The sequence below is a fragment of the Homo sapiens genome, chromosome 20, assembly GCF_000001405.40.
Source record: "Homo sapiens chromosome 20, GRCh38.p14 Primary Assembly".
In the NCBI taxonomy this organism is placed as follows: Eukaryota; Metazoa; Chordata; class Mammalia; order Primates; family Hominidae; genus Homo; species Homo sapiens.
The window spans coordinates 51,595,008-51,620,752 of NC_000020.11; the positions used below are offsets into that span (position 1 = coordinate 51,595,008).

A 25,745-nucleotide genomic window follows, 5' to 3' on the forward strand; every position below is an offset into this window, starting at 1 on the left:
AATATTCTGGTCAACAACATGAAAAGAAATGTCTGTTTTTCACGGAGCCTCTGGCCATGAAATAAATTCTGAAGCTATGAAAGCACAGTCTTGAAACTCAGGGCAGTTGGGCACGTGGGGTCCGGCTGGTTGTGGAAAACAGGAAACAGCAATGTCTTTCAGTCCTCAAGTTCCCCCTAGCGGCTCCGGCGGAGGAGTGTCCGCACATGGACGGAAGTTCACTGCAGGCAAATGCAGAGGCTTAAGGTCGTGCAGGGATAGCACACGTTTAAGGGAAAGCATGGTCGGTCCCTACCTTTGAAACCACATACCTTCCTTTTGCTGCTGTCATGAGATAACACAACTAAGTTACAATTATCTTTCTAATCTATATACTGAGGATGGCCCTTTCCATTGAGAACCAAAAAGAGGGAACCAGCAGCTCACACTGCAGACAGCCACTAATTACACCATTTGGTATAGTATTTGGTATAGTAGGCGGAGGCATAACTTGCTTCCTGAGACACACGAGCTTATACCTCCGGGCCCTTTTACAAATACAGACAGACAAATGGTACAGCTGACACGTGCCAATTAAATTAGGGTTTCTCTGGCTGGGCGTATGGGCTCATGCCTGTAATCCCAGCACTTTGGGAGGCTGAGGCAGGCAGATCACCTGAGGCCTGGAGTTCGAGACCAGCCTGGCCAACATGGTGAAACCCCGTCTCTACTAAAGATACAAAACTTAACCGGGCGTGGTGGCAGGCCCAGCTACTCAGAAGGCTGAGGCAGGAGAATCGCCTGAACCTGGGAGGCGGAGGTTGCAGTGAGCCAAGATTGCACCACTGCATTGCAGCCTAGATAACAGGGCAAGACTCCACCTCGAAAAAAAATAATTAGGGTTTCTCAATGTTGGCACTTTTGACACTTTGGGCTCTGTTGTGGGGGCCACCCTGTGAATCACAGGGTGTTCGGCAGCATCTCTTGCTTGTAGCACTCCTCTTCCCCGAGTTGTAACAACTGAAAAGGTCTTCATACCGCCACGTGTCCCCCAAGGGACAAAAATCACCCAATTGATTTCAACTACTTCCTACACAAAAGCTTTTTTTGTTTTGTTTTGTTTTGAGACGGAGTCTTGCTCTGTTGCCCAGGCAGGAGTGCAGTGGCACAATCACGACTCACTGCAGCCTCGACCTCCGAGGCTCAGGTGATTGTTCCGCCTCAGCTTCCCAAGTCGCTGGGACCACAGGCTTGAGCCAGTACACCCAGCTCGTTTTCTTGTATTTTTTGTACATGAGTTTCACCACGTTACCCAGGCTGGTCTCAAACTCTGGGCTCAAGCAATCCTCCTGCCTTGGTCTCCCAAAGCTGGGATTACAGACATGAGCCACTGCGCCGGGCCTTAAAAATTTTTTCTGCCTAAAACTTAACTGACTGTTCCTATATGTTCCATCCCTCGATAAAAAAAAAAAAAAAAGATTCCAGTCATCGAGGACCGTGTATAGAAATACAATATGAAGCTTATGGTTTTCATCTTATTTTCCATTTATATCTATCACCTTTTGAAATTCTGACACGTCTGGGATGGACAATAGTACAAAATAATAAATAACATGCATTGATTTGGGGTTTTTTTTGCCAAAATCAAAATAATTTTCTGAACTGGAAAGAGTTTTCTTTACATTTCATGTACCATGAAATAAAGAAAAAATAGGAGCGTTATAATAAAAAGTCCTCATTTTGATACCAGAATTCATGTTTCTGTACAAATTAAAATAATCCCCCAAGGCAGAACGTACACAAGCTTTATTGGGCAACAGCAACGAGCCACGCTGGCAAACAATGAAAGTAGAGTCGCTCAGAAACACGAAAGATCATATGTGTGTCATCACAGCATCGAGAATTTAAATCATCTGGAAGTTCCTGCTAAATTAAAGCATACTGTGCCAGAGCTCCCCTCTAATCAAAAAACGCTGTCCTGGTGAAAATTTGCAATGAGGATTACAGAGAGAGAGATCAACCAATGAGGAAATCACAGACTCTTACATGAGTTTACAGTTAACCCCACTGCAACAAAATAATAAATTAGCCATAATTTGTTTTTTTTGCAAATACCATGCCCCCCACCTGACCCCACAAACACAACAGTCACTGACATGGCCCAGCTATATTAACAGACTGCGCCTCAAACCATGCTGTGGCGGAGAAGACAGATTCACGGGTAATGCCGCTTTGGCCTGAGAAGATGCTTCGGAGCTCCAGGTGGAGGAGCTGCTCACGCTGCAGGATGCTTTGCAGGTTCATTCAAAACCAAATTTTTTTCCAAGAAGAACTGGACATAATTCATGGGAATATTTTAAGTATATATAAGTGGCAAAAAAGCTGTACATTAAAAGAAGGGGGAGAAATAAAATGTGTTGTATTTACAAAGCTCTTTGTATATTTTTTTAAATGAAAACAAAGCTGGGAGTGATAGAATTTTAATGCAATGAAAACCAAATAATTCTTCAAAAAACTTTAGATGACATCATTCTCTCGCTCTTTCACACACACACACACCCCCCACACACTTCAAACATACAGAAAAGGTTAAAGATAAAAATAGCTGATAGGTGTTTAAGTAGGATGGAGCAGAAGAATGTACATGTCCCATTTGCAATTTTGGCAAAGGTTTAAAATGCTGCCCTAAAGGCACGCACGCATGCCCAGCCTACCCCAGTAAAAACAAGACAAAGTATAAAAAGAAAAGTCTGGCGGGGGGTGGGGGAGGCATTAGCATATCAATTTCCAATGAGCACAAAATTCAAAATACATTAAAAAGTAGCATGGCTTACATTTTCAGCAGAGAAGAAACTGAGGAAATGTTCATAAAGAGACAATGATTTTTAAGATTTACTGTCACAAAAAAAAAAGGGTTTCACTTCAGGGGAGTGGAACTGGGATGGGAATTTTACAATGCTAGTTCCAGCACGTGGTCTAATGGCCCCAGGGGCTGGAAAAGGGAGGTCTGCTCCAACTTTAAGATGCGCCCTTGGGATGCCTTCCAAGCAGCTGGAGTTAGTGCCACCTGTCTCACCTGGCACCACAGGCAACACACATGTGCACACGCATGCTTTCAAAATGAGGATCAAAACTGTCCCACATAAGAAATTACTCAAGATGGAAAAACTAGTCTGGTGATTTTCTTAGAGAAAAAAAAAGAGAGACAAAAAGGAAGGGGTGGGGGGAGGGGAAGAAACCAAATAGATCCTGCTTCCCCCTGTCACACAACCATCATCAAAAGACATATGAACAATAATAAAATAGTAATAGAAGTTCTTACTCTGGCAGAAATAGCTAGTGTTGTCAGAGGGCGCAGGGAGCTGTGAGTTTTGCTTTCAGGAAAAGTGTTCAAACAGTGCTGACTGTGTACCTCAAGGCCCTCTGACCTCAAATTAAATTGGCTGTCAAAGACTTACGGCCCATGGAGCTCCCAGGTGACAGTGTCAATGGCGCTTTATGTAAGTTCTTTCCAGATTGATGAACCAAGAAAAAGGTCAACTGAATCCTTATGCTTAAGGTTTACAAACTCAGGAGAGTTTCTTGTATAGTAACTCTAGTTTCTTGTTTGCTTATTTCTTTGTCTTCCCCACCACAACTAAGATGACCTCCGAGAAGTACCCAGGCGCCCCTGGGGTTCTCTGCTGGGCTTACAGTCTGATTGTGCAGGTAAAGATCGTGTCCTCTCACCGGACTGCATCCTCCTGCCTTTGCGTCTCCAGTGTCTGAGAAGCACGGTGTGTGCATTCCTAGGTGTTCAGGGACCGTCCAGTGAATGGCGTCAGCCAGCTGCCCACTGATGGGATGGGCCAACGACGTGGCAGTTTGCACTTGAGTGTCGGTACTTCTCACCCTTGACCGCCTCCGCCCCAGTGCGGCTGAGACAACAGAGTAAAAAGGTTTGTGGAGAACACTGACGAGTACCTTCCACTTCCAACTATGGCTTCTTCAGCCCCTCCTGGGAGCATTCTCCCTTGAAGATGTCAATCAGTATCTTAAGCGTTGGCTTTAAAAGTCAACTTGTGCACCTCAATCAAAATTGAGAATTAAGGAAAAGGCCAGGGAGACCATCTTCATTCTGCTTCTGCTGGAAACCTCTAAAACTTTCTGACGAGGCTCCCACACGCCCTGCCTGCAGGAGCCAGCATCCCGAATCTCCGAGCAAAGCCAGGTACAGGGTTTGCAAAGTCTAAACAGGACTATCTTAAGACTTCCCAGCGTTACAGAGCCAGGTTCAGCATCTGCAAAGTCTAAATGGGACTATCTTAAGACTTGCCAGTGTTACAGACTGATTTCCAAGAAAACGGAGGCTTAAAAACTTCCAGCACAAATTTCTCCTCCACCTTTGAAAACACAGAAACTCACTCAATGAATACGTCAGATTTGCTCAATCTTTCTGAAATTTTTGGACAAAGATCCTATCCTTAACTATTCACTCAATACATCTTTTCTGCCGACCTTTTCCCTCTGGCAGAAATGGCTGAATCAGATAGAGAAAAGTACTGCAAAACTGCAGAATCATAAGACAAAATAGATGTGGTGTCAACAGCCAATTAACCAGTACCTGCAACGTAAAGTCATTCTAGAACATTTTAAAAGGACAACACAAAATACAAAAGCTTATCAAGAGTGCTCCAAAGGCAAGGGACTATCTGATCCTCGTGTCTCCAGCTCTCCAAGAGCAGGAGTTAGTAGGCATCAGAAACCAGGCTGTGATGTACATCTCTGAAGCACACAGAAGTAGCGCCAGGCAGAGGGTTTGAAGGATATGTATTCATCAAGAAGTAAACGCAAATCCAAGATCTCAACCACACTTGGCTCTTAAAGATCCACCAACTTAACCCTTATGGCATGCATATGTGGCTTCTGCAAGAAGCAACTTGAAAACCCAAGAATGCCTTGCTCTACCACGTCCCGCGACTGCAAACTCCCTTCCTCTGAAACAAGCAGCCACAGCTTTATAAGAAACATGCCGGCATGTAGTCCATCCTGGGAGGGGAGAAATCTTCACCACTGGCTGCCTTTCAGCAAGTTCCCCTTGAAATCTGCCGGCAGTGGAACAGATCCCAGATCCCAACGCTGTAGCTTGGGCGTCCTCCCACCAGGGGTTCCTTGTTCTGAAAGCTGCCACCAGTGTTGTTCCGAAAGATGCCTCTGCCTTTGTGGGGTCATCTTCCATTATGCCTCCTAACAGGAAACAGGCTTCTATGGAAGAGAAGAGTCCCAGCCCCCTGACCTTTCCGCTTTGGTCTTGGAGGATCTGAGTCACATCTGCCATGTTGCCTAAAGAATTAGTTGAGTCTCTTATCACACTGTCGACACATTTAGGGGCCATTCAGTGGCACGTTTCCTGCTAAAACAACTCTGCTGAAAATGTCTGAGGTCCTTCTCAAACAGCCACTGGCTTTGTGATTGTTACCAGGTCCCAATAAAGCGGGATCACACCTCTGAAATTCTTTTACGAGGTGGCAGGTGAAGTTAACTCACACACTATGGATGCTGAATCAGATCAAGGATAACAGATTGGACTTAGGACACTCTCTCTCCCTCTCCTCTCATTTACTGGTTACGATCCCAGGAATCCAGTGTAACCTGGATAAGCAGGGCTGGCTGGAGACGATACTGAGCATTTCCGAATGGAGATTATTGTGTGGATAACTTTTTACCAAATGTCACTGTCTTTTCCTCCCAAACCGACACCAAGAGCTTTCTATTTTTCTGACACCTCTTTGTAAGAGCAAGAAAGACATAAAGAGTACATACACATTAGGACTCTTTAAAAACACACACACACACACACACACACACACACACACACACAAGCCTTCTACAACCTTCAGCTACACAGAAACTTTTATCATGTGACAACAAAATTCAAGTCATAAGGAAGCTCGCACAGTGACCCATATAAATCTCCCAGCTGAGCCACCAGCTTTAACATATTCATATTCACCTAAACATGAAGAACGAGGGGTTCAGACAGGCCCAGATGGGTCTCTTTCAGGACCCTCCCTCCCGTTGATGCAGCGTTAGGACTCCGTTTAGGCGCAGAGCCACTTCCCATTAAAACTGCATGTGTTAGCAATTACTGCAAAATCCACAGGTGGCGGTTAATATAAATGGAACTTGAGCTCTGTCCATCAGGGAAGCGCCAAGACCAGGGCCCCCTCCAGCGAACGCACGGCCTATGATGTGAGCTTTGAGTAGCTGGGGGGAGAGAACCGTCTTCGCAGGTACTTGAGGACATAGAGGGGGAGGCAGCTGACCAGAGTGATGACGGAGACTTTCCACAAGAATGACAAGGTGGCGATGAAGTACACATCTGCAAGGAAAGGGGAAGACGGCAGTGAGCAGGCAGGAATATTCCGGAAGGTGCATGGGGTCCAGAAACAGGCGTCACAACTATCAAAGGGAAAGTCATCTCCCGTCACAAACCCACAGCCTCCTGGCATTGGCCCTCTTTCTCCATGGACTGTAAGGGAAGGTACCATGGCTAAGAGCACACAGCGCCGCAGCTTGATTTTCCTCGCTCTCTCTTCTGTAGCTTCCTGACAGTGAAATGCTACTTTTAACACCCAGGAGAAGAAAACTATGGGGGCCACCAGATGCAGTGGCTCATGCCTTAATCCCAGCACTCTGGGAGGCCAAGGCGGGCAGAAGAATTGAACCCAGGAGTTTGAGACCAGCTTGGGCAACACAGCAAAACCCTGTCTCTACAAAAAATACAAAAACTAGCCAGGCATGGTGGTACATGCCTATAGTCCCAGCTGTTCAGGAGGCTGAGGTGGGAGGATCATCTGAGCCCGGGGAGCTTGAGACTGCAGTGAGCCAACATTGCACCACCGCACTCCACCCTGGGCAACAGAATAAGACACTGTCTCAAAAAAAAGAGAAAAAAAGAAGGAAAGAAAATTACAGGGGAAGAAAACTCAGAGATGCTTTTGATTTGGTGTTGTCTAACAGTTGGAGAGTCTTTCTAAGTCCCGGCCACTGGCGAGCAGAAAATGACATTCAAATGCACCCTCTGCTTCCAGTGATGGTCGCAGAAAGCCACAGGATGAGTCTGGGTCATGGTGCAAAGTGTTCAGACCCCCTTGTCAGAGAAAGGCTTAAGCTGACCCTCAGGGACTCTGATGGAAGGTGGGGGGGGCGGGCGTACTGCCTTTCCTGCTGCAGGATTATAAACCCGGTTATGAGGTTTTCTTAAGAGAGGAGTGACAGTTTGTGGCTTTCAATATAGCAGAAGCCAGAATAAGCCCCTTCTCCACTTTCTGAGCACAGGATGCTGAAATGCAGCTGCCACTGAGGCAGCACCTACTAAGTGCCAGGCCCAAGGCTCAACTCACCCTGTGGTTTTCCTACACCTCTGACCCGGTCCTGTGGTGTGTCCCTATCACAAACAAGCTGAGCTTCCTGAGCAGGGGCCACATCTCTGTGACCACCTCAGGCCCAAGCCTTTGAGCACATACTAGGTCTCACAAAACGCTTTCTAGAGACTAGTGACAAGGGTGAAACTGCTTTAAAACTCCACTGTTCACAGGGATGCTCCTTTAGTTCCTGGAGCGCACAGTAAATGCTCACAAATCCTTTCTAGAAACTGGGGCTGCAACTGTGAAACCTTTACTTTTCAGGGGATGTTTCTTTTACCTTTACTAAAACCTTCCTAAGGAGCTTTGGAAGCTGGCAAAAGAGCCGCGATCAAAGATGCTTCCAGGGTAAGGTCGAGTTTCTCTGCCTTTTTGTTGTTATTGCCCCTTAAGGAACATTTTTAGACTTTTCTTCTTCTCCTAATTGACCACCTCCATGACATGTTAATGTCACAGGTATACTGTGTATCTGTTTATAATATTATATATACATCTCCTTTATACGTAAAAGGTTAGGGTTTGTTCACACCCCACCAAAGACCACTGTTTGTTCCCCAGGCGGTGGGGTCCACACCACCCCCACTGAGAAGGCCTGAGGTAAAGGAGCAAGGGATGGGCCATTGCTAGAGAGCCTGGGCCCTGCAGGTTTCCCACGGAGGATGGGGCGTGAGGGGGTTGTCATTAACTGAAAGTTTCCCCCAGAGAGAGTCTATCCTGCAATCCTGAACACACATGAGCTTCTTAGCAGAGAAGCAGCCTCCGGGCCCTGCTCCCCCAGCTGATAAAGGAGAAACAGTATCACTCTTGAGGGTTTTTTGTTTGAATAACACAGACAGAAAATTAAATGCTCCTACTGAGGAGGAAAGAGGTGTAAAGAGGACTGTCTGCTAAACCAGCTAGACTTTCAGGATGACCCCTGGCCCTGAGGTTCCAAAGCCATAGCGGCTTGAGTTTGCCCCGTGCGGGGGAAACCAAGATTAGAGTTCAGAATCTATCCACAGCACAACACAGAAAATGCTGGATCATCTGAACCGTGCCCGTGTTGCAAGTTCTAGTTGAACTAGAAACAGGTTTCTAGACAGGAATTAAAGCCCGTGTCAGCACCCGATGGGGTCCGTAGCATAGCATGGGGTCATCTTGGTGGCCCTGCAGGGACTTGTGGCTCAATCAATTGGGAAGAAATTAACTGATATGGCAAAGCAAGTGAGGTCAGCATGGAAGAGTGATGAAACCAGGCTTGTCCATCTAGAGACAGTGGCTGACGCTGGACAAGCCCAAGAGTACCTGGAATCACTACTGAGGTCAGAGAAATCTGCCACCACCCCACATTAGGATGGTGCTGACACTCCCCCATCTCTACATTCCCATAACATTTTTTATTATTTATTTATTTATTTATTTATTTAGAAATGGAGTCTTACTCTGTCGCCCAGGCTAGAGTGCAGTGGCGTGATCTCAGCTCACTGCAACCTTCGCCTCCCGGGTTCAGGCGATTCTTCTGCCTCAGCCACCCAAGTAGCTGGGACTACAGGTGTGTGCCACCACGCCCTGCTGATTTTTGTATTTTTAGTAGAGATGGGGTTTCACCATGTTGACCAGACCGGTCTCAAACTCCTGACCTCGTGATCCACCCGCCTCTGCCTCCCAAAATGCTGGGATTACAGGTGTGAGCCATTGTGCCCGGCCTCCATAACATTTTTTATTTGGGGTGTGCCTGGGCGTCTAGCACCTCACCCCATTTTTCTTTCTTGGTAACTTTGATCACATCTGATATTCCTGTGCTCACACTCACTTAATGTGTGTTTATCGTGTGTTCCCAACGAGAAGGGCAGCTCCCTGGCGAGCCCGTCCACCTCATCTGCCACCATAATCCTGGCACACGGCAGGTGCTCCCACGTCTACGGAACTGGCGAGTACCTTCAGCACTTGGTTTGCTGTGAGGAGCAGCAGATTGTATTCTGAGATCCCTGGAGTCCCTCAGGAGCTCTATCAGGACACAGCAGCAAGGCAGGGCTGCACGGGCAAGGTTCTGGGGCTCGGCACCTCCCAGCACTGCCACTTTGCTATCACAAGTCCCCTTTTATCAGTTTCATAGATTGGACTTCAGATTAAGATTTCATGGGAACAAAAAGATTTTGTGGCCCAAAAAAGGTGACAGAGCAAGACTCCGACTCAAAAAGAAAAACAAAAACACTGTCTACTGCAATCACGCCCTCTGTCCTCAATTTCACACCCTGAGGCACAACTACCACCTGTCCCTAGAGAACACCTGTTAAGAAAACGTGGACAGCTGAGCGGGAAGGACTGCTGGAGGAAGAGCCCAGGCCGAGCGCTGGGAACCCCCCTTCCTTCATACGGCAGTGAGACCTCTGGGCCAGATTCACTGGGGGTGACGGACGGGGTTTAAGCATTCAGGGGTCTTACCGATGAACTCGTGTAAGAACACCAGGGAGGCGATGTAGCAGGCCAGGCTGAGCAGCTCCGCCACTGTCATGAGCCAGTGCCAGGTCTGGATGGTCAGCGCCACCATGAGCAGCTCGGTGAGGATCAGCGAGGTGAAGGAGATGGCCACGATGTGCACGAACTCCGACTCAAACAGCAGCAGCGCCCCGTACATGATGGTGCTCCCTGCAAACACCAGAGAAGGGTATTCCCCTCACCCTCCCTGCGAAAGCCGTGCGCTGCTCGCCTACACCTGGCTCCTTTCCGCAGTTTTCATTTAGACATGAAAGGCATCACTTGTTACATGAGGTTAATGACTGGTGCTTTATGCAGGTCTGAACCTATGGTTTTCTGATTTTCCTCTTTGACCTTGTAGGATAAATAATCTTTAACTACAAAGTGAGAAAAAGGGAGAAAAAAGGAAGTAAGGCAGGGAGGGGAGTATCTAGAGTTGATGAAAGAAATAGAAAGTTAAATATAATATTTAAAATGATGGAGTCGCGGCCAGGCGCGGGGGCTCAGGCCTGAAAACCCACAATTTGGGAGGCCAAGGTGGGTGGATTGCTTGAGCTCAGGAGTCTGAGACCAGCTTGGGCAACAAGGTGAAAGCCCGTCTCTACAAAAAATACAAAAATTAGCCAGGCATGGTGGCATGCACCTGTAGTCCCAGCTACTCAGGAGGCTGAGGTGGGAGGATCACTTGAGCCTGGGAGATGGAGGTTACAGTGAGCTGAGATTGTACCACTGCACTCCAGCCTGGGTGACAGAGTGAGCCCCTGTCTCAAAAAAATAAAAAATAAAATGATGTCGTGACTCACACCTGTAATCAGCACTTTGGGAGGCTGAGGCGGGCGGATCACTGGAGGCCAGGAGTTCAAGACCAGACTAGCCACCATGGCGAAACCCTGTCTCTACTAGAAATACAAAAATTAGCTGGACGTGGAAGCGCATGCCTGTAGTCCCAGCTACTCGGGAGGCTGAGGCACGAGAATTTCTTAAACCTGGGAGGTGGAAGTTGCAGTAAGCCGAGATCGTGCCACTGCACTCCAGCCTGGGTGATACAGCAAGACTCTGTTACAAAAAAAAAAAAAAGAATAAACCCCAATAGGAGACATGAACAGTAAATTTATTTTTTAAAAAAATAATAAACCCCAGCCAGTCGCGGTGGCTTACGCCTGTAATCCCAACACTTTGGGAGGCCAAGGTGGGCGGATCACAAGGTCAGGAGTTCGAGACCAGCCTGGCCAACATGGTGAAACCCCCGCCTCTACTAAAAATACTAAAATTAGGTGGGCGCCTGTAATCCCAGTTATTCGGGAGGCTGAGGCCGGAGAATCGCTTGAAACCATAAGGCGGAGGTTGCAGTGAGCCAAAATGGCGCCACTGCACTCCAGCCTGGACAAAAGAGCAAAACTCCATCTCAGAATAGTAATAATAATAATCCCCAAATACACATGTTTATTTGTAAGTTATATATGTGTACCTGTCCAGATATATAGAAATATTAGGATCATTTCACATGTATATTATATGTACTACAAAACATACATAAAAATGGAAATACTAAAAAAGAGTGAGGATTCCGGGCACAGTGGCTCATGCCTGTAATCCCAACACTTTGTGAGGCTGAGGCAAGAGAATTGCTTGAGTCCAGGAGTTTGAGATCAGCCTGCACAACATGGTGAGACCTCATCTCTACAAAAAATACAAAAATTAGCCGGGTGTGGTGGTGTACACCTGTAGTCTAAGATGCTGAACTAGAAACAGGTTTCTAGACAGGAATTAAAGCCTGTGTCAGCACCCGACAGGATCCACAGCACAGCATGAGGTCATCTTGCTGGACCTGCAGGGACTCGTGGCTCACAGTCCATTGGGAAGAAATGAACTGATTTGGAAACTGATTTGGTGGTGGTGTACACCTGTGGTCCCAGACTCAGAAGGCTGAGGTAGGGGGATCACCTGAGCCTGGGGAGGTCGAGGCTACGGCGAGCCGTGATTGCTCCACTGAACTCCAGCCTGGGCAACAGAGTGAGACCCTCCGCCACCCAGGGTCTCACTCTGTTTCTACATATTATATAAAATATATTTTATAAGTATATAAAATCTATTATGTGCACTACAAAACATACATAAAAATAGAAATACTAAAAAAGGATTCTGGGCATGGTGGCTTTGCCCTGTGTCTCAAAAATATATAAATAAATAAATATATATATGTAAATTTAAAAGAGTTAGGAAAAATAAATACAAACAGAAGTTTTGCTATTTTCTTCTTATATTCCAACAGGTCATCTTACAACGCCTCCACAGTCTGGGAAGACCCCCCTCTGGAGGCCACTGAGGTAAACATGTTTTTCCAAAACTACGACTTGACCTGACTCTCAGAAAAGGTTTCAGAACATCCCAGAAAGCATCTGCTTTTTGCCTCATGAGTGGAGCAGCCCCACAGGCTTTGATTACTGTCCACTGCCTTCCTCTGGCTTCACTACCTCATTTCTCACACAGCAGCACTGTGCATGTCTGATGTTCAAGTCCTTATACAGGGTGAGCAGGGTCTCCCCTGGGTCCCACTGCCACCCTCCTTCCTGCTATTTCAGATTCGTTTCTTCTCTTCTTGTTCTACAGGCAAGAAGGGGACACCCTGAGTCAGTACCAGAGCACAAGACAAACAGGTGTCTCCACTCATCCTTACCTTGATAGATGCTAATCAAAACCCATATTAAGAATGTCTTGTAGGACAACGGCCGTCCCTGAATGAGAGACAGAGAAAGGTTAGAGCCGGTTTCGCGGGGGGCTCACGCAGCATGCCATCAGCTTTCACGTTATTCTCCCGCTAACGAGATAAGGCAACCCATCTGTCTTCATCAATAAAGTGGCTCGCACACATCTGAACACATTGGAGGAATTATTTCTTTAAAAAAAGAATTGGCCAGGCATGGTGGCTCACACCTGTAATCCCAGCACTTTGGAAGGCTGAGGCAAGTGGATCACTTGAGGTCAGGAGTTTGAGACCAGCCTGGCCAACATGGTGAAACCTCCTCTTTACTAAAAATACAAAAATTAGCCAGGCATGGTGGTGCACGCCTGTAATCCCAGCTACTCGGGAGGCTGAAGCAGGAGAATCGCTTGAACCCAGGAGGTGGATGTTGTAGTGAGCCGAGATCGAGCCACTACACTCCAGCGTGGGTGACAAAGTGAGAATTAGTCTCAAAAAAAAAAAAAAAAAGAATTAACATTAAAATTAACATTACATGGGAATAAACCTTCCCTTGGGTAAAAAACCCTGAAGACAAATAAAATTATACACCTGCCTAGGCACACGCCACCACACACACTTTTTGGAACTGTACACAAGAACATCTCTGGGAGCAAACGTTAAGTTGCAACTGCAAAGCGGAACTGTCAGGGGCTTTTTGCAAGTCGTGAGTTGGCTTGTTTTCAGTTTATCTATTACTGTACTTTTTCACGTTCTTTATACCAGTGAATATATTACTGCTTTAAGAAAAAATGTAAACTCCCACACCTTCCCCCCAAAAGTAAAAAAGCTACCAGTTCAAGTGTGTTCAAATCAGAATTGGAGGGTCTGTGTGAAATAAATTCAAAGAAAAAAAGCAGGGAGGGAGGGAAGGAAGGGAAAAGCAAAGGAGGAAAGGAGGAAGGAGGGACTGAAAAGCTAACAGAACCTTGAGAAGATCCTTGTAGAGCTCAGGATACAGCATGGCAACTTCCGATTTGACATCTTTGTCCAGGACCAGAGAAAACACAGGAAACATGGTGTAAATTGTGGAGTACCTGGGAGAGAAAACCGCCATAGGTAAGACCTGGCTGACGCGATAGGAGCTATGTGCTGTGCCAGCCTCCGGCACCCAAGTCCCAACCATGCCTCTAACAAATATTTACTGCTTGTCTATTATGCTCCGGGGCTGGCTGTAAGCACCAGAAACCCATGAGCAAAAATGGACAAAAATGTCTGCCCTGAAGAGCTTTCATCCCGGTCAGCGAGTCAATAAACAAATAAATTAGGTAAACTCTATGTGTGTTAGAGAAGTGCTAAAGAGAAAAATATAATGGGGTAGAGGAAATAAGACGTGTGTGTGTGTGTGTGTGTGTGTGTGTGTGTAGGGGGTGATGGTACAATTTTAGAGGCTGAGGAACAGAACATTTGAGTGAACACCCACAAAAGGTGAGGGCCAGCCAAGCCAATCCCAGGAGGAAGAGCATTCCAGGGAGAAGGAACCACCAGTGCAAAGGCACTGAGGCGGGAGTGGCTGTCATGTCTGAAGAACAGCCATAAGGCCAGTGGGGCTGGGGCTGAGGGCGACGGAAGAGGAAATGAGGACCCACGGGAAAGATGGGACCAGACCACGGAAGGTCGCACGGCGCACAGCTCAGGGAACCCCTGACTATATTCTGTAATGTTCTTGTACTCTTCCAGAACCCGACGAAAGACAGCCCGCTTTTCCAGTTAGAAGCAGGCAGAATTCTAGTGCCTCCTCTCAGGCTGAACTCATCAGCCAACACAGTAGGATGGAAAGCGGACTCTGTGAGACTCTCCAGAGCGCAGCTGACCTTCCCGCACCCGCCGTCTCCTCATAACCAGAAGTGGCCTCAGCTGCATGTGTCTGTATCTAGGGCACTCGGTAACCAAACTCCACCTACCTGGGTGATTCAGAGACTGAGCACATTCTCTGAAAAGGTCAGAAGGATCATCCTGAAGTTCCAGGTCAGTAATGGGGGTGGGTTTGCAGGCTGCAAAGGCCCAAGTGACACCATCTCTGTCACTGTGGCACAGCAGCCAAGCTCTGTTACTTGCACATCCCCGAGGCAGTGGACTCTGGCCCTCCCTGGAGCTCCAAGGATGGGACTTCTACTGGGCTCAGTTCAGGCCAGGAGGGCATTTTTCAGATCCCCCACCCCTTTTTATTAAGACCCCAGTGAAATCACCAAGTCTGCAAACCTTCCACCTTGCTCTCCTCAATCAACTGATAACTCTGGAGTATTTTTTCAAGACCAGGTACAAATGGCAAAGTGCAACACACCACACACATCTCCAACTCCACTTCCTCCATCTGGTTAAGGGCTTAACAGCTCAAAACCTTGTTAATTGAAGGAGGTTCTAAACCATGGTGCTGGGCCTGCATTCGCTGGGGCTGGGAATCCAATGTGGCTTGGGAACCCAAGAATTTTTCCACCACGTTTCTTCTCTCTGTTGCAGCATTTGAAGAAGGTTTTGTAAACAATTAATTCCTTGGCAGGATTTCCTTACCCAATGATGAGGAATCCTTGATAGAGAGGGACGGAGGCAAAGTAAAACACGGAGGAAAAGACAGCCTGTGCCAAGGAGAGAGGAGGATGTCACCAAAAGTCATGACAAAATCCCTTACATTTACAGAATAAAAATAACACCTGATACTTACATAACACCCGCGCCGGCACTGCTGTAAGGTACTTTACATGGATTTGCTCATTTCATTCTCACAACATCAACAACAACCCTATGAAGTAGGTACGATTCTCATCATCCTCATTATGCAAAGCAGAAAGTGAGGCATAGAGAGGGTACGTGGCTTGCCCAAGCCCACACAGTTCCTAAGCAGCAAATCTAGGAATCATTCCCGGGTAGGGTGATGTATCACAGCTCCAGGGTCTACTCAGCCTGTTGTGAATATTTATTAAGTTCCAGGACCCAGGAATGCTTTGTACATGAGCACAGCTGATCTCCAGAGCAGCCCACAGGATCAAGCCCTACTATCACCCACACTTTACAGAAGGGGAGGCTGAGCAGGTAAACAGCCCTATGGGACTCAAGCCCAGCTGTGGCCACAGCTCTGTGGCCACACTTCTAAACAGCTCGGAATCCTCACCTCTGTAGGCATGCACGCTGCTAACCAAAGTGCCGTAGGTATGGAAACACATACAGAAAAAGAGCCTCTGAAGTGTCTACGGGGGCTGGGATGGCAGAAAAGGCTTCACTTCTTATATTACATGTTTCGGTATTTGGGGAAATTTTTGAAAAGAGCATGGTGACAGATTATTTTTGCAATTAGACAAAAGCAATGAAGATATTTACAAACCCTCGCGGAAATGTCTGCTTCCTGCTTTGGAAAATATTAGCTGCTGGTAATGATGAATAGGCTGGGGAGATCCAATCAGGCTTGAAGCTCTGTTAGCTCCATCTCTGGACCTCTATGGGCTAACAGAGGAAACACGGTCTCCAAGCTGATATCCATTCATATAAAGCTGAAGGAAGGCCAGAGACAAATGCTGCCTGAAAGCTTTTAGAAAGCAGAAGAAAGCAAGGCAGAGATACCCTAGTCATTAGAAATAGCATCAGACCAGGGCTAGCTCCCCAGAGCACCTTCAATGGACACAGAGAGAAAGCATGTAAGAAACACGTGCTTTCTCGGCACAGAGCTCAGAGCGCAGGTGATCCTGAGCGCCATGGCCACAGGAAGCCCCAGTTCGCCCTGGCTGCGCCGGAAAAGCCACTTTTCCAGTGACTTTTCACCCAGGCTGTGCCGCTGCTTAGGAAGGATGGTTGTAAAAATGTCAAGAATCTGTTGTTTATTTTCCAGACCAGTATCAGGAGCCCCTTCCTCTAAAAGGGTCATCCTAACCACAAAGTCTTCATCTCGACAAGAGCACTTTGGGAAAAATAAAAACACTGTGTTCTCTGACAGACTCATGTCCCGGTGCAATTCTAACTGGGACTTGCTCTCGGCCATTTTCAGCACAGTGGACAGGGGTTAAAGGCATTTTCTTTAGCACAAAGAACAATGCCTCATCCTGGAATTCTTTTTCTACATCAATGTTAACAGTAACATCCAGTTTTTGAAGAAGTCAGCTCATCCCGGCCAGCTTTTGTGTATGAGTCCAAGGACGGGCTGATTAATCTCCCAATCATTAAAGCCACAGCATTATCCTGTTCAATTGGTGAGTTAACATAAAAGTACAGATGTGGTCTGGTGAACCACAGCAGCTGTTTGGGTTTAGATCATTTTGATGAAAGTCACTTTCAGGCTCCCCTACTCACAATTGCAATAGATATTTAAAACATAAAATCACCCCCAAAAAACTGGGGTGTAGCCAGTGGACGGAAAATTCTCATGTACCCAAAGCAGCACTACCTGATACATTGTACAAGGCAGACCGCCTTTCAAGTATGATTAAACATTCTCACAAATTAAAATATCACCTGATGTTTACATATTACCTTATTTCACTTCTACTAATCACGGTAAGGATGCCTTAGCACTGATGCCTTAAAAACGTCTCTGTTTTTCACAGTGGCCCTGTCCGAGGGCAAGGAGGGTCTCATCATCCCCGTTTTCCAGGTGGGAAGACCGAGGCCTAGAGTAGTAAAGTTATTTGCTCAAGGTCTCACAGATCCTTAATGGTATGGCCAGAAGGAGACGTGAGTTCCAGGATCTACTGTACCTACATTCTCACCACTCAACTGGGAGCATTTTCACCTCAATGCCCAAAAAGGAAGATTGACAATCAATAGCTTTTTAATACCAAAAATATTTTCTTTCCCTCCTTTGGCCTCCTTTCTACTCCACACTTAATTGCTACAGACTGATGGCAAATTTTGTTGTTGTTGTTTTTGAGATGGAGTCTCACTCTGTTGCCCAGGCTGGAGTGCAGTGGCGCAATCTCAGCTCACTGCAACCTCCACTTCCCAGATTCAAGTGATTCTCGTGCCTTAGCCTCCCAAGTAGCTGGGATTATAGGTGCATGCCACCATGTCCAGCTAATTTTTGTATTTTTAGTAGAGACAGGATTTCACCACGTTCACCAGACTGGTCTTGAACTCCTGGCCTGAGGCGATCTGCCCACCTCGGCCTCCCAATGTGCTGGGATTACAGGCATGAGCCACTGCGCCTGGCCTATGATGACAGATTTTGAAGAAGTTTGTGAGAGAGAAGGTGAGAAAATATATACTCTAGAATCCTTTTATGAAAAAGCAAGATGGGAACAAGATGTTAACTTCCAAGGGTATTCGTGATCATAATAATTAAACTCAGTTCCCCTACTAGGCTCTGCTGGAAGACAGAACCGTGATGCTGAGTCAATCTCAGTGCCAAGTGTCATGCTGACCCCTGCAAGTGGACACGGTCCCAGGCCCTCCATGACGAGTGTATCAAGAAGGTACTCAGATTGTGACTGCAGGCTTTGAGGTCCACCTGCCTGAGCTGACTGAATCCCTGCGGGACACCACAAATTTCTCATCCATATTCAGCCTCAGCCTCCCCATCCGTAAAATGGGCTCAGGCTATTGTGAGGCTTATGTGAGACACTGCATTGTCAACACTTAGCCTGATGCCTAAGGTACAGGAGGCACACAAGCAAAGTACATTCTTCTTTAGTGGTTGTTCTCTGATGGCCCTTACCTCTGCAAAAGGTGAAAAACCAGGGCCTGAATAGTCATTCAGCATTTAACTCTGCGTCTTTCACTCCAGCAAACAAATTATAACAACGTACCCACAATTAAAATAACTCATGTACACTCCACTTGCCCCATGCCAGGCACTGGATGTCACCACTGCTAACGCACACATCCTCACCACATGGCAGGAATGACCAGCACCGCTTAACAGGGGAGGAATCTTGAGCACCAAGAAGTTCAGGGACTGGCTCAAGGTCTATCAGCTGGAATGCAGCCAGGTGGGGGATTTAAACTGGCGAGGTAGGGGTGACAGCTCCAAAGCATAATCTAATTCCCAGGCTTTTTCCATGATAATTACATAGCCACATGTACATGTGCAGAGGGAGCAGCTGCCCACCCACCTACATGGTATAGCCACAGGCACATGTGCAGAGGGGCCAGCTGTCCACTCACCTGCATGGTGCTGATACAGAGGCTCCTGTGAATCACGAACTGGCTGAGGGCGGCTGACCGCTTGTAGCTGTTCCGGCCATGCACCATAAGCAACCGGCCAAGATGCTTAAATTGAGTGATGGAGAAGTCTGCAGCCAACGAAGCCTGTTTTCCTTCCTAAAATCCAATAAAATTAGGCACCATCAGAAGCACAAGAGGTCAGGGCAAACACATTTTCTTTCACTGAAAAAGCAAGACATTGTAGGAAATCTTTGAAGAACTTCAAGAAAGAAATTCTTTGGTTTCAAGCTATATGCAGTTGGTGGTCCAAGTCTAAATTTGATTTTAAAAGGGGAATTTATTTAAATAAAAACCATTCCGAATCACATATAGTTATAATTTGGACGTCAAGTGGATCTAATACTTTGGGAGTTCAGCCCACCCCATAAGTAGCAAAGAATCATTTAAAAATAGATATTTTAAAACATTCAGTTCCCTTAAGAGCTAATTAAACAAGAGGCAAAAACCCAGAGCTACTAACAATATTAGATAGGATATTCCTGAATACACAGCTCTGCACACTCACAGAAGTGGGAATAACTTGCAGTGCAACCATATAATGGAATTCTCTCATTTTGTATTTTTTAATTTTTATTTTTTCTTGAGACTGGGTCCCACTCTGTCACGCAGGCTGGAGTACAGTGGTGTGATCTTGGCTTACAGCAACTTCTGCCTCCCAGGTTCAAGCCATCCTCCCACCTCAGCCTCCTGAGCAGCTGGGAGCACAGACATGCACCACCACACCTGACTAATTTAGTTATTTTTGGTAGAGATGGGGTTTCTCCATGTTGCCGAGTTTGGTCTCAAACTCCTGAGCTCAAGCCATCCGCCCACCTCAGCCTCCCAAAGTGCTGGGATTCCAGGCATGAGCAGCTGCACCTGGCCGAATTCTCTCATTTTAAAAGGCAGTGACAGCCAGCAATAAAGGGACAGAGGGACATGAGAGCCTCTGGATACGACACAACAGGAAGAACACCAATTCCCCTTGTACAGTGCTCATGCCAAACCAGAATTGGAACCGAATCAATCTGATGGGTTCAAGAACTGTGTGCCGTGAGACACTACAACTGTCCTGAATGCTTCAAAAATGTCACTGACATGAAAAACAAAACACCCGCTAACCAAACCAAACAAAAAGAGAGAAACGTGTTCTACAATAAAGAAGATCAGAAACATGAGGACATGCTAATAAATGTGATTTGCAATCCTTCCTGGAGCTTTTATTACTTAAGCTGTGAAGACACTCAGAGGACAGATGGGGGAATTTGAGCATGAATATTATCCAGTACCATTATATATCAATGTTAACACGGGGTTGAGCATGAATATTATATAGTAGCATTGTATCGATGTTACATGGGGTGGGGGTGCCTGGGGGGGCGGGGCGGGGGGTGGGGCGTGGTTATGATGTTACTTTCTTTGTGTGGGAGAATGTCCTTGTTCTAAAGAGATCCAGCTGAAATATTTAGGGGTAACATTACATACAATTTACTTTCTACTGATTCAAAGAAAGAAAGATAATGTAGCAAATAGTAACAATTGGCCAAAGTGAAGGGTAGATGAATGCTCACTGTTCTATTTCAACTTTTCCATTGTTGTATTTCAACTTTTGACATTTTTCAAAATAAAAAGGTAGAGTCAGAGTAAGAAGTGATGGCTCTGTATGCTCTCATGTAGGAACAAATCCATGATGTAGCAGATTTAAGTAAGCTGCACAACAAAATGTACAGTGTGTTTTCAATTTAAAAAAATACATGAAAATTACATATATATACATGTGTAAGATATTTGTATAGATAGCAAATATATACACACTCATAACCAGTAATATACACACAGAAAAAATGTTGAGAGAATAACCAGTGTTACTCATTTGATGCAGTTACCTAAAAGAAAAGATGCGTTTTACTTCTAGATTCTTTTATTTTATGTTATATATATTTTTGAGACAGTCTCACTCTGTCACCCAGAGTGCAGTGGCACAATCTCCGCTCACTGCAACCTCTGCCTCCCGGGTTCAAGCAATTCTCCTGCCTCAGCCTCCCGAGTAGCTAGAATTACAGGCACCCACTGCCATGCCTGGCTAATTTTTGTATTTTTAGTAGAGACGGGGTCTCACCATGTTGGCCAGGCTGGTCTTGAACTCCTGACCTCAGGTAATCTGCCCACCTCGGCCTCCCAATGTGCTGGGAATACAGGTGTGAGCCACTGAACCTGGCCTAGATTCTTTTAATTTTTTATAGTGAGCACTATTTTATATCCCAAGAAACAAAGGAACCAGAATACCATTTTTAATAGAAGGGAAAATGCTTTAATTTTTTAAGAACTGGTAGAGAATGCCATTAAACTCAAAAACATGCTTCTTAAAAACTGTATTCAGGGAATCTATACAGACTTCTGATATATCTCATTCAAAAATCATTTCACTCTACAACTTTAAATCATCGTCATCTTGCTGAGAACCAGAGAACCAGAAAGGGTGGTAAAGAGGGGGAAAAAAAGCCCTATGGGTCAGCCAAAGTCATGAAGCTATGCAACAGGATGGACAGGGGAGCATCTCTGCTGCCCCCTCCGGGCCTTGGCACTCCTATACTTCAAACACACTTCTTTTCTTTTTTTTTGAGATGGAGTTTTGCTCTTTCACCTAGGCAAGAGTACAGTGGCTCAATCTCGATTCACTGCAACCTCCACCTCCTGGGTTCAAGTGATTCTCCTGCCTCAGCCTCCTGAGTAGCTGGGATTACAGGCATGTGCCACCACATCTCACTAATTTTTGTATTTTTAGTAGAGACGGGGTTTCACCATGTTTGCCAGGCTGGTCTCGAACTCCTGAGCTCAAGTGATCCTCCCGCCTCAGCCTCCCAAACTGCTGGGATTACAGGCGTGAGCCACCGCTTCCAGCCCTTCACACACAGTCCTAACAAACTCGGTGACCCATCTTCTTGCCTCTTGTCATTTAGAGGTCACAAATTAGGGCCGAGTAAACTGTAAGAGGCAAGCGCACAATTGGCAAGGAGAAAAAGACAGAAAAAATATTTCCTAACACACCAACTTTTAAAAATTATACCTGCCAAGGCCTTTTGGTGAGAAGTGAACTAAGCCACACTCTTCCATAGCGCCCAAGAGATCAGCACAGAGCAGGATAACTAATGCTTTTACTGACAACGCTGACTGTCCCAGAGAAGTCTGAAGTATACTTACCATACCCTAAGAATATAGAGAAACTTTTTTTTTTTTTTTTTTTGAGACAGAGTCTTGTTCTGTTGCCCAGGCTGGAGTGCAGTGGCGCAATCTCGGCTTACTGCAACCTCTGCCTCCCGGGTTCAGGCGATTCTCCTATCTCAGCCTCCCAAGTAGCTGTGATTACAGGCACCCACCACCATGCCCAGCTAATTTTTGTATTTTCAGTAGAGACAGGGTTTCTCTAAGTTGGCCAGGCTGGCCTCAAACTCCTGACCTCAAGTGATGATCCACCCACCTCAGCCTCCCAAAGTGCTGGGATTACAGGCGTGAGCCACCACACCGGGCCTAGAAACACTTTTTCTTTTTTTAAATTCAGGTCGTGGCAAACAAAAAGCCAACATTCATCTGTCTGTAAGATGTAGCAATACAGACCTCTATCTTCCCAGTGACACAAGGTAACTGTGACACATGATTCCTTATGTTTTATCATTCTTTATCTGGAATTTCCAGAAGGCTTAAAGCTGTGTCTTTGAGGGAAAAAGAACCAAGAAACTACAGCAAGTGGAGCCGAGCAGAGGGAAACACTCTCACCTTTCCTTCCACTCCCACGCCGCAGTCAGATTCCTGAATCATGCTGACGTCATTGCCTCCGTCCCCTGCGAGCCACACAGACCAGAGAGAAAAGATGTTTCATTCTTACCTTAACCAAGAATGTATGCTTGTCTTTACCGCACTCTCGTCTTTCACGGAGCGCTTGCTGAGTGCCTGGCCTGCCCCGTCCATTCCATCTCTCCAACCCCTTGACTACCAAGATCCTGTTTCACAGGCAGAGTGGCTGAGTGTCAGAGAGCCCAGGCGGCTTGCCAAGGGTCCCGGCACTGAGCAGCAGCAGTGGGACTGTGTCCACATAGGCATTTACCACCACCTGTCCTCCTCGGAGGCCGGGATACCCCAGGATTACCATCAGCAGCAACTTGTAGTGCTCTTACTGGACGCTTTCCATGCAGCGTGGCAAGCACATTTTAAAGGTGATCCTTTTTAGGCTGAGCAGTGGCTCACGACTATAATCTCAGCACTTTAGGAGGCTGAGGCAGGCAGATCACCTGAGGTCAGGAGTTCGAGACCAGCCTGGCCAACATGGAGAAACCCCGTTTCTACTAAAAATACAAAAATTAGCCACACGTGGTGGTGCACGCCTGCAGTCCCAGCAACTCGGGAGGCTGAGGCAGGAGAATCACTTGAACCCGGGAGACGGAGGTTGCAATGAGCTGAGATTGTGTCATTGCACTCCCGCTGGGCAACAGAGTGTGACTCCGTCTTAAAAAAAAAAAAAAAGGTGACCCCTTTTAGTCTTCATGACACCATTTAAGGAAGCCACAATTATTATTCCCATTCTACCATAAGCAAACCGAGGCTCAGATGGGTGAAAGAAGCCACCTGGGGCACCCACTGGCAAAGGCCAGTGGAAAGATTTGAACCCAGATCCAACCCCACAGTGTGTGGTCTCCACCCCCTGGAAGGCTGCACTCTTGAGCCACTGGCAAAGGAGTAGAGGCCTGGCACGTGCTTATCTACTCTCCAAGGGAAATATTAAAAATAATAACAAAAAGAGCCAAAGTCTGAGAGGTGGAGAAAAATCATGACCTGAACAAAGGGGCCTGGGGAATTTGAAGAAAGAGCAGCAGTGTCCAAATATCCTTAGGGAAAGGGAGCCTGGTGCACCGGCAGGCCAGGGCCAGCAGCACAGCCTGAGCCTCGCCTACCTACTGCACAGGTGAGCTTGCCCGTGCGCTCCTGAAGCAGGCGCACGATCTGGGCCTTCTGGGTGGGGGCACATCGGCAGCAGACTACGGCCGGGCACTGGCAGGCCAGCTCCATGAACTCGTACTCATAGTACTTGAGGCAAACCTGCAGGGTGGAGGGAGAGGTGGTGCGTTGGTGGAGGGAGAGGTGGTGCGTTGGTGGAGGTCGCTGCCGAGCCTGCAGTGCCCCTGCCGAAGCCGGGTAAGACCCAGGCTGCTGGGAGGACTGGCTCTCAGGGGTCCCCAAGCTCACCTCCAGGGAGTCTCCCGAGATGACCAGGGCACAATCATGCTTCCTGCGGAAGGCGTTCAGCTCGAGGTGAGCCTCCCCGCGGTTGGTCACCTGGAAGGGAACAGAGATGGGGAAGGAGGCATTGCTCTCCGGACATGATAGAACAACAAACAGTGGCTTCCAGGAGCCCACATGAAGACAACGGCCACCCCAGCCAAGGGTCCCTCCCCTCCCCTGCCACCAGAGGCAGCACCAAATGGAATCCTATTGGTTGACTCTGCAGGAATCAAGAGAGCCCATGTGCCAACCACCACCTACAATTTCCCCCAGGACTAAAAATGCCTGTACTGGCCAAGCGCAGTGGCTCATGCCTGTAATCCCAGCACTTTGGGAGGCTGAGGCGGGCAGATCACTTGAAGTCAGGAGTTTGAGACCAGCCTTGCCAACATGGTGAAACCCACTCTCTACTAAAAATAGAAAATTAGCTGGGCATGGTGGTGGGTGCCTGTAATTCTAGCTACTTGGGAGGCTGAGGCAGGAGAATCACTTGAACCCAGGAGGCAGAGGCTGCAGTGAGCCGAGATCATGCCACTGCACTGGCAGTATGGGCAACAGAGCAAGACTCGTCTTTTAAAAAAAAAAAAGGGGGGGGGGGGCCAGGTACGGTGGCTCACACCTGTAATCTCAGCACCTTGGGAGGCTGAGGTGGGCGGATCACCTGAGGTCAGGAGTTCAAGACCAGCCTGACCCACATGGAGAAACCCCATCTCTACTAAAAATACAAAATTAGCCGGGCTTGGTGGCACATGCCTATAATCCCAGCTACTTGGGAAGGCTGAGGCAGGAGAATCGCTTGAACCTGGGAGGTGGAGGTTGCGGTGAGCCGAGATCATGCCATTGCACTCCAGCCTGGGCAACAAGAGCAAAACTCTGTCTCAAAAAAAAAAAAAAAAAAAGCCTGTACTTTCATTTTCGGCCAGGTGTTGGATGATGCATTCGGTGGATTTTTCTCATTTATTTCTCACAACGGCTCTATGAGGTGCCAAAAAGAAGAAGCTCTATTTTGCACCTAAGGAAACTGAAGCATGGTGACATCTGCTAACCTGACTAAAGGCACATGGCTAGTATGCTGTAGCCCAGGTATGCAGAGCCAGGCACCTAGCAGGGACTGGGCCACTTTTCTGTAAAGGACCAGATGTTAACTATTGTAGGCTTTGAGGACCACATGGTCTCCATCACAACCACTCAGCTCTGCCGTTGTAATCCAAAAGCAGTCGTACACCATATGCAAACGAGCCGGTCTGTCTACACTCCAATAAAACAAAATACCTGCTGTTTAGAAAAACAGGTGGCTAGCACATAGGTCATTAGTTTGCAATCCCTGAATTCTAGAACAGACAGTCAATTCTCATTATTCATAGTAGCTATGTTTTCTAAAGTCACTGTGAACACTGAATTAGCAAATACTAAACCATCACCTGTAGGGGAAATACAGGGTTAGGTTTTTGCCCCTGGTTGCAATATCTTCATAAATATATAACCTTATTTTATGTGCGTTTCTACTTAAAGACACCTGGATTCATTAACATTGAGCTCACAGCCACCAGTTCTGTAACTCATGCCTGCAGGAAGCTCATCTAACACACGCATTCGCTCCATAAGTCACATCAACAGCCTTCCTGTTGATGTGACTTATGGATGTTGGGAAGTTCAAGTTCCAGAAAACAAGCCAGCAAAGAAGCGCTGTGTGCGGCCATTTTAAACGACAAACTGCCAACAAAAAGCATAAAAATGCAAAAAACCGGATACTCGATGGACTG

The 25,745-nt window shown here is 46.8% G+C and overlaps 1 protein-coding gene across 1 annotated transcript in view, besides 2 other annotated features; it reads right to left on the bottom strand.

Moving 5' to 3' along the window:
* Positions 1-1,506: 1,506 nt before the first annotated feature.
* The window catches only part of ATP9A (ATPase phospholipid transporting 9A (putative)), a 171,877-nt gene continuing 147,638 nt past the window's right edge, over positions 1,507-25,745 (bottom strand). The window contains exons 20-28 of the mRNA NM_006045.3: positions 23,947-24,036; positions 23,655-23,799; positions 22,483-22,547; positions 18,670-18,825; positions 15,094-15,158; positions 13,511-13,619; positions 12,520-12,577; positions 9,810-10,013; positions 1,507-6,340 (exon numbers count right to left, since the gene is read on the bottom strand). Of these exons, the coding sequence (NP_006036.1) occupies positions 6,204-6,340; positions 9,810-10,013; positions 12,520-12,577; positions 13,511-13,619; positions 15,094-15,158; positions 18,670-18,825; positions 22,483-22,547; positions 23,655-23,799; positions 23,947-24,036 (1,029 nt within the window). The 3' untranslated portion in view covers positions 1,507-6,203. The remainder of the gene's footprint in view (positions 6,341-9,809; positions 10,014-12,519; positions 12,578-13,510; positions 13,620-15,093; positions 15,159-18,669; positions 18,826-22,482; positions 22,548-23,654; positions 23,800-23,946; positions 24,037-25,745) is intronic.
* Positions 13,181-14,380: an enhancer, noted in NCBI's record as "CDK7 strongly-dependent group 2 enhancer chr20:50224727-50225926 (GRCh37/hg19 assembly coordinates)". NCBI's record gives its function as "activates an origin of replication core promoter dependent on BRD2, BRD4, P300/CBP, MED14 and CDK7 cofactors, with strong dependence on CDK7, by STARR-seq in HCT116 cells {active_cell/tissue: HCT116}" and the evidence as "EXISTENCE:reporter gene assay evidence [ECO:0000049][PMID:35650434]".
* Positions 14,841-14,994: a silencer, noted in NCBI's record as "fragment chr20:50226387-50226540 (GRCh37/hg19 assembly coordinates)". NCBI's record gives its function as "represses an EF-1alpha promoter that drives an FKBP-Casp9 reporter gene in an ReSE screen in phorbol 12-myristate 13-acetate-treated (for megakaryocytic differentiation) K562 erythroleukemia cells {active_cell/tissue: K562(+PMA)}" and the evidence as "EXISTENCE:reporter gene assay evidence [ECO:0000049][PMID:32094911]".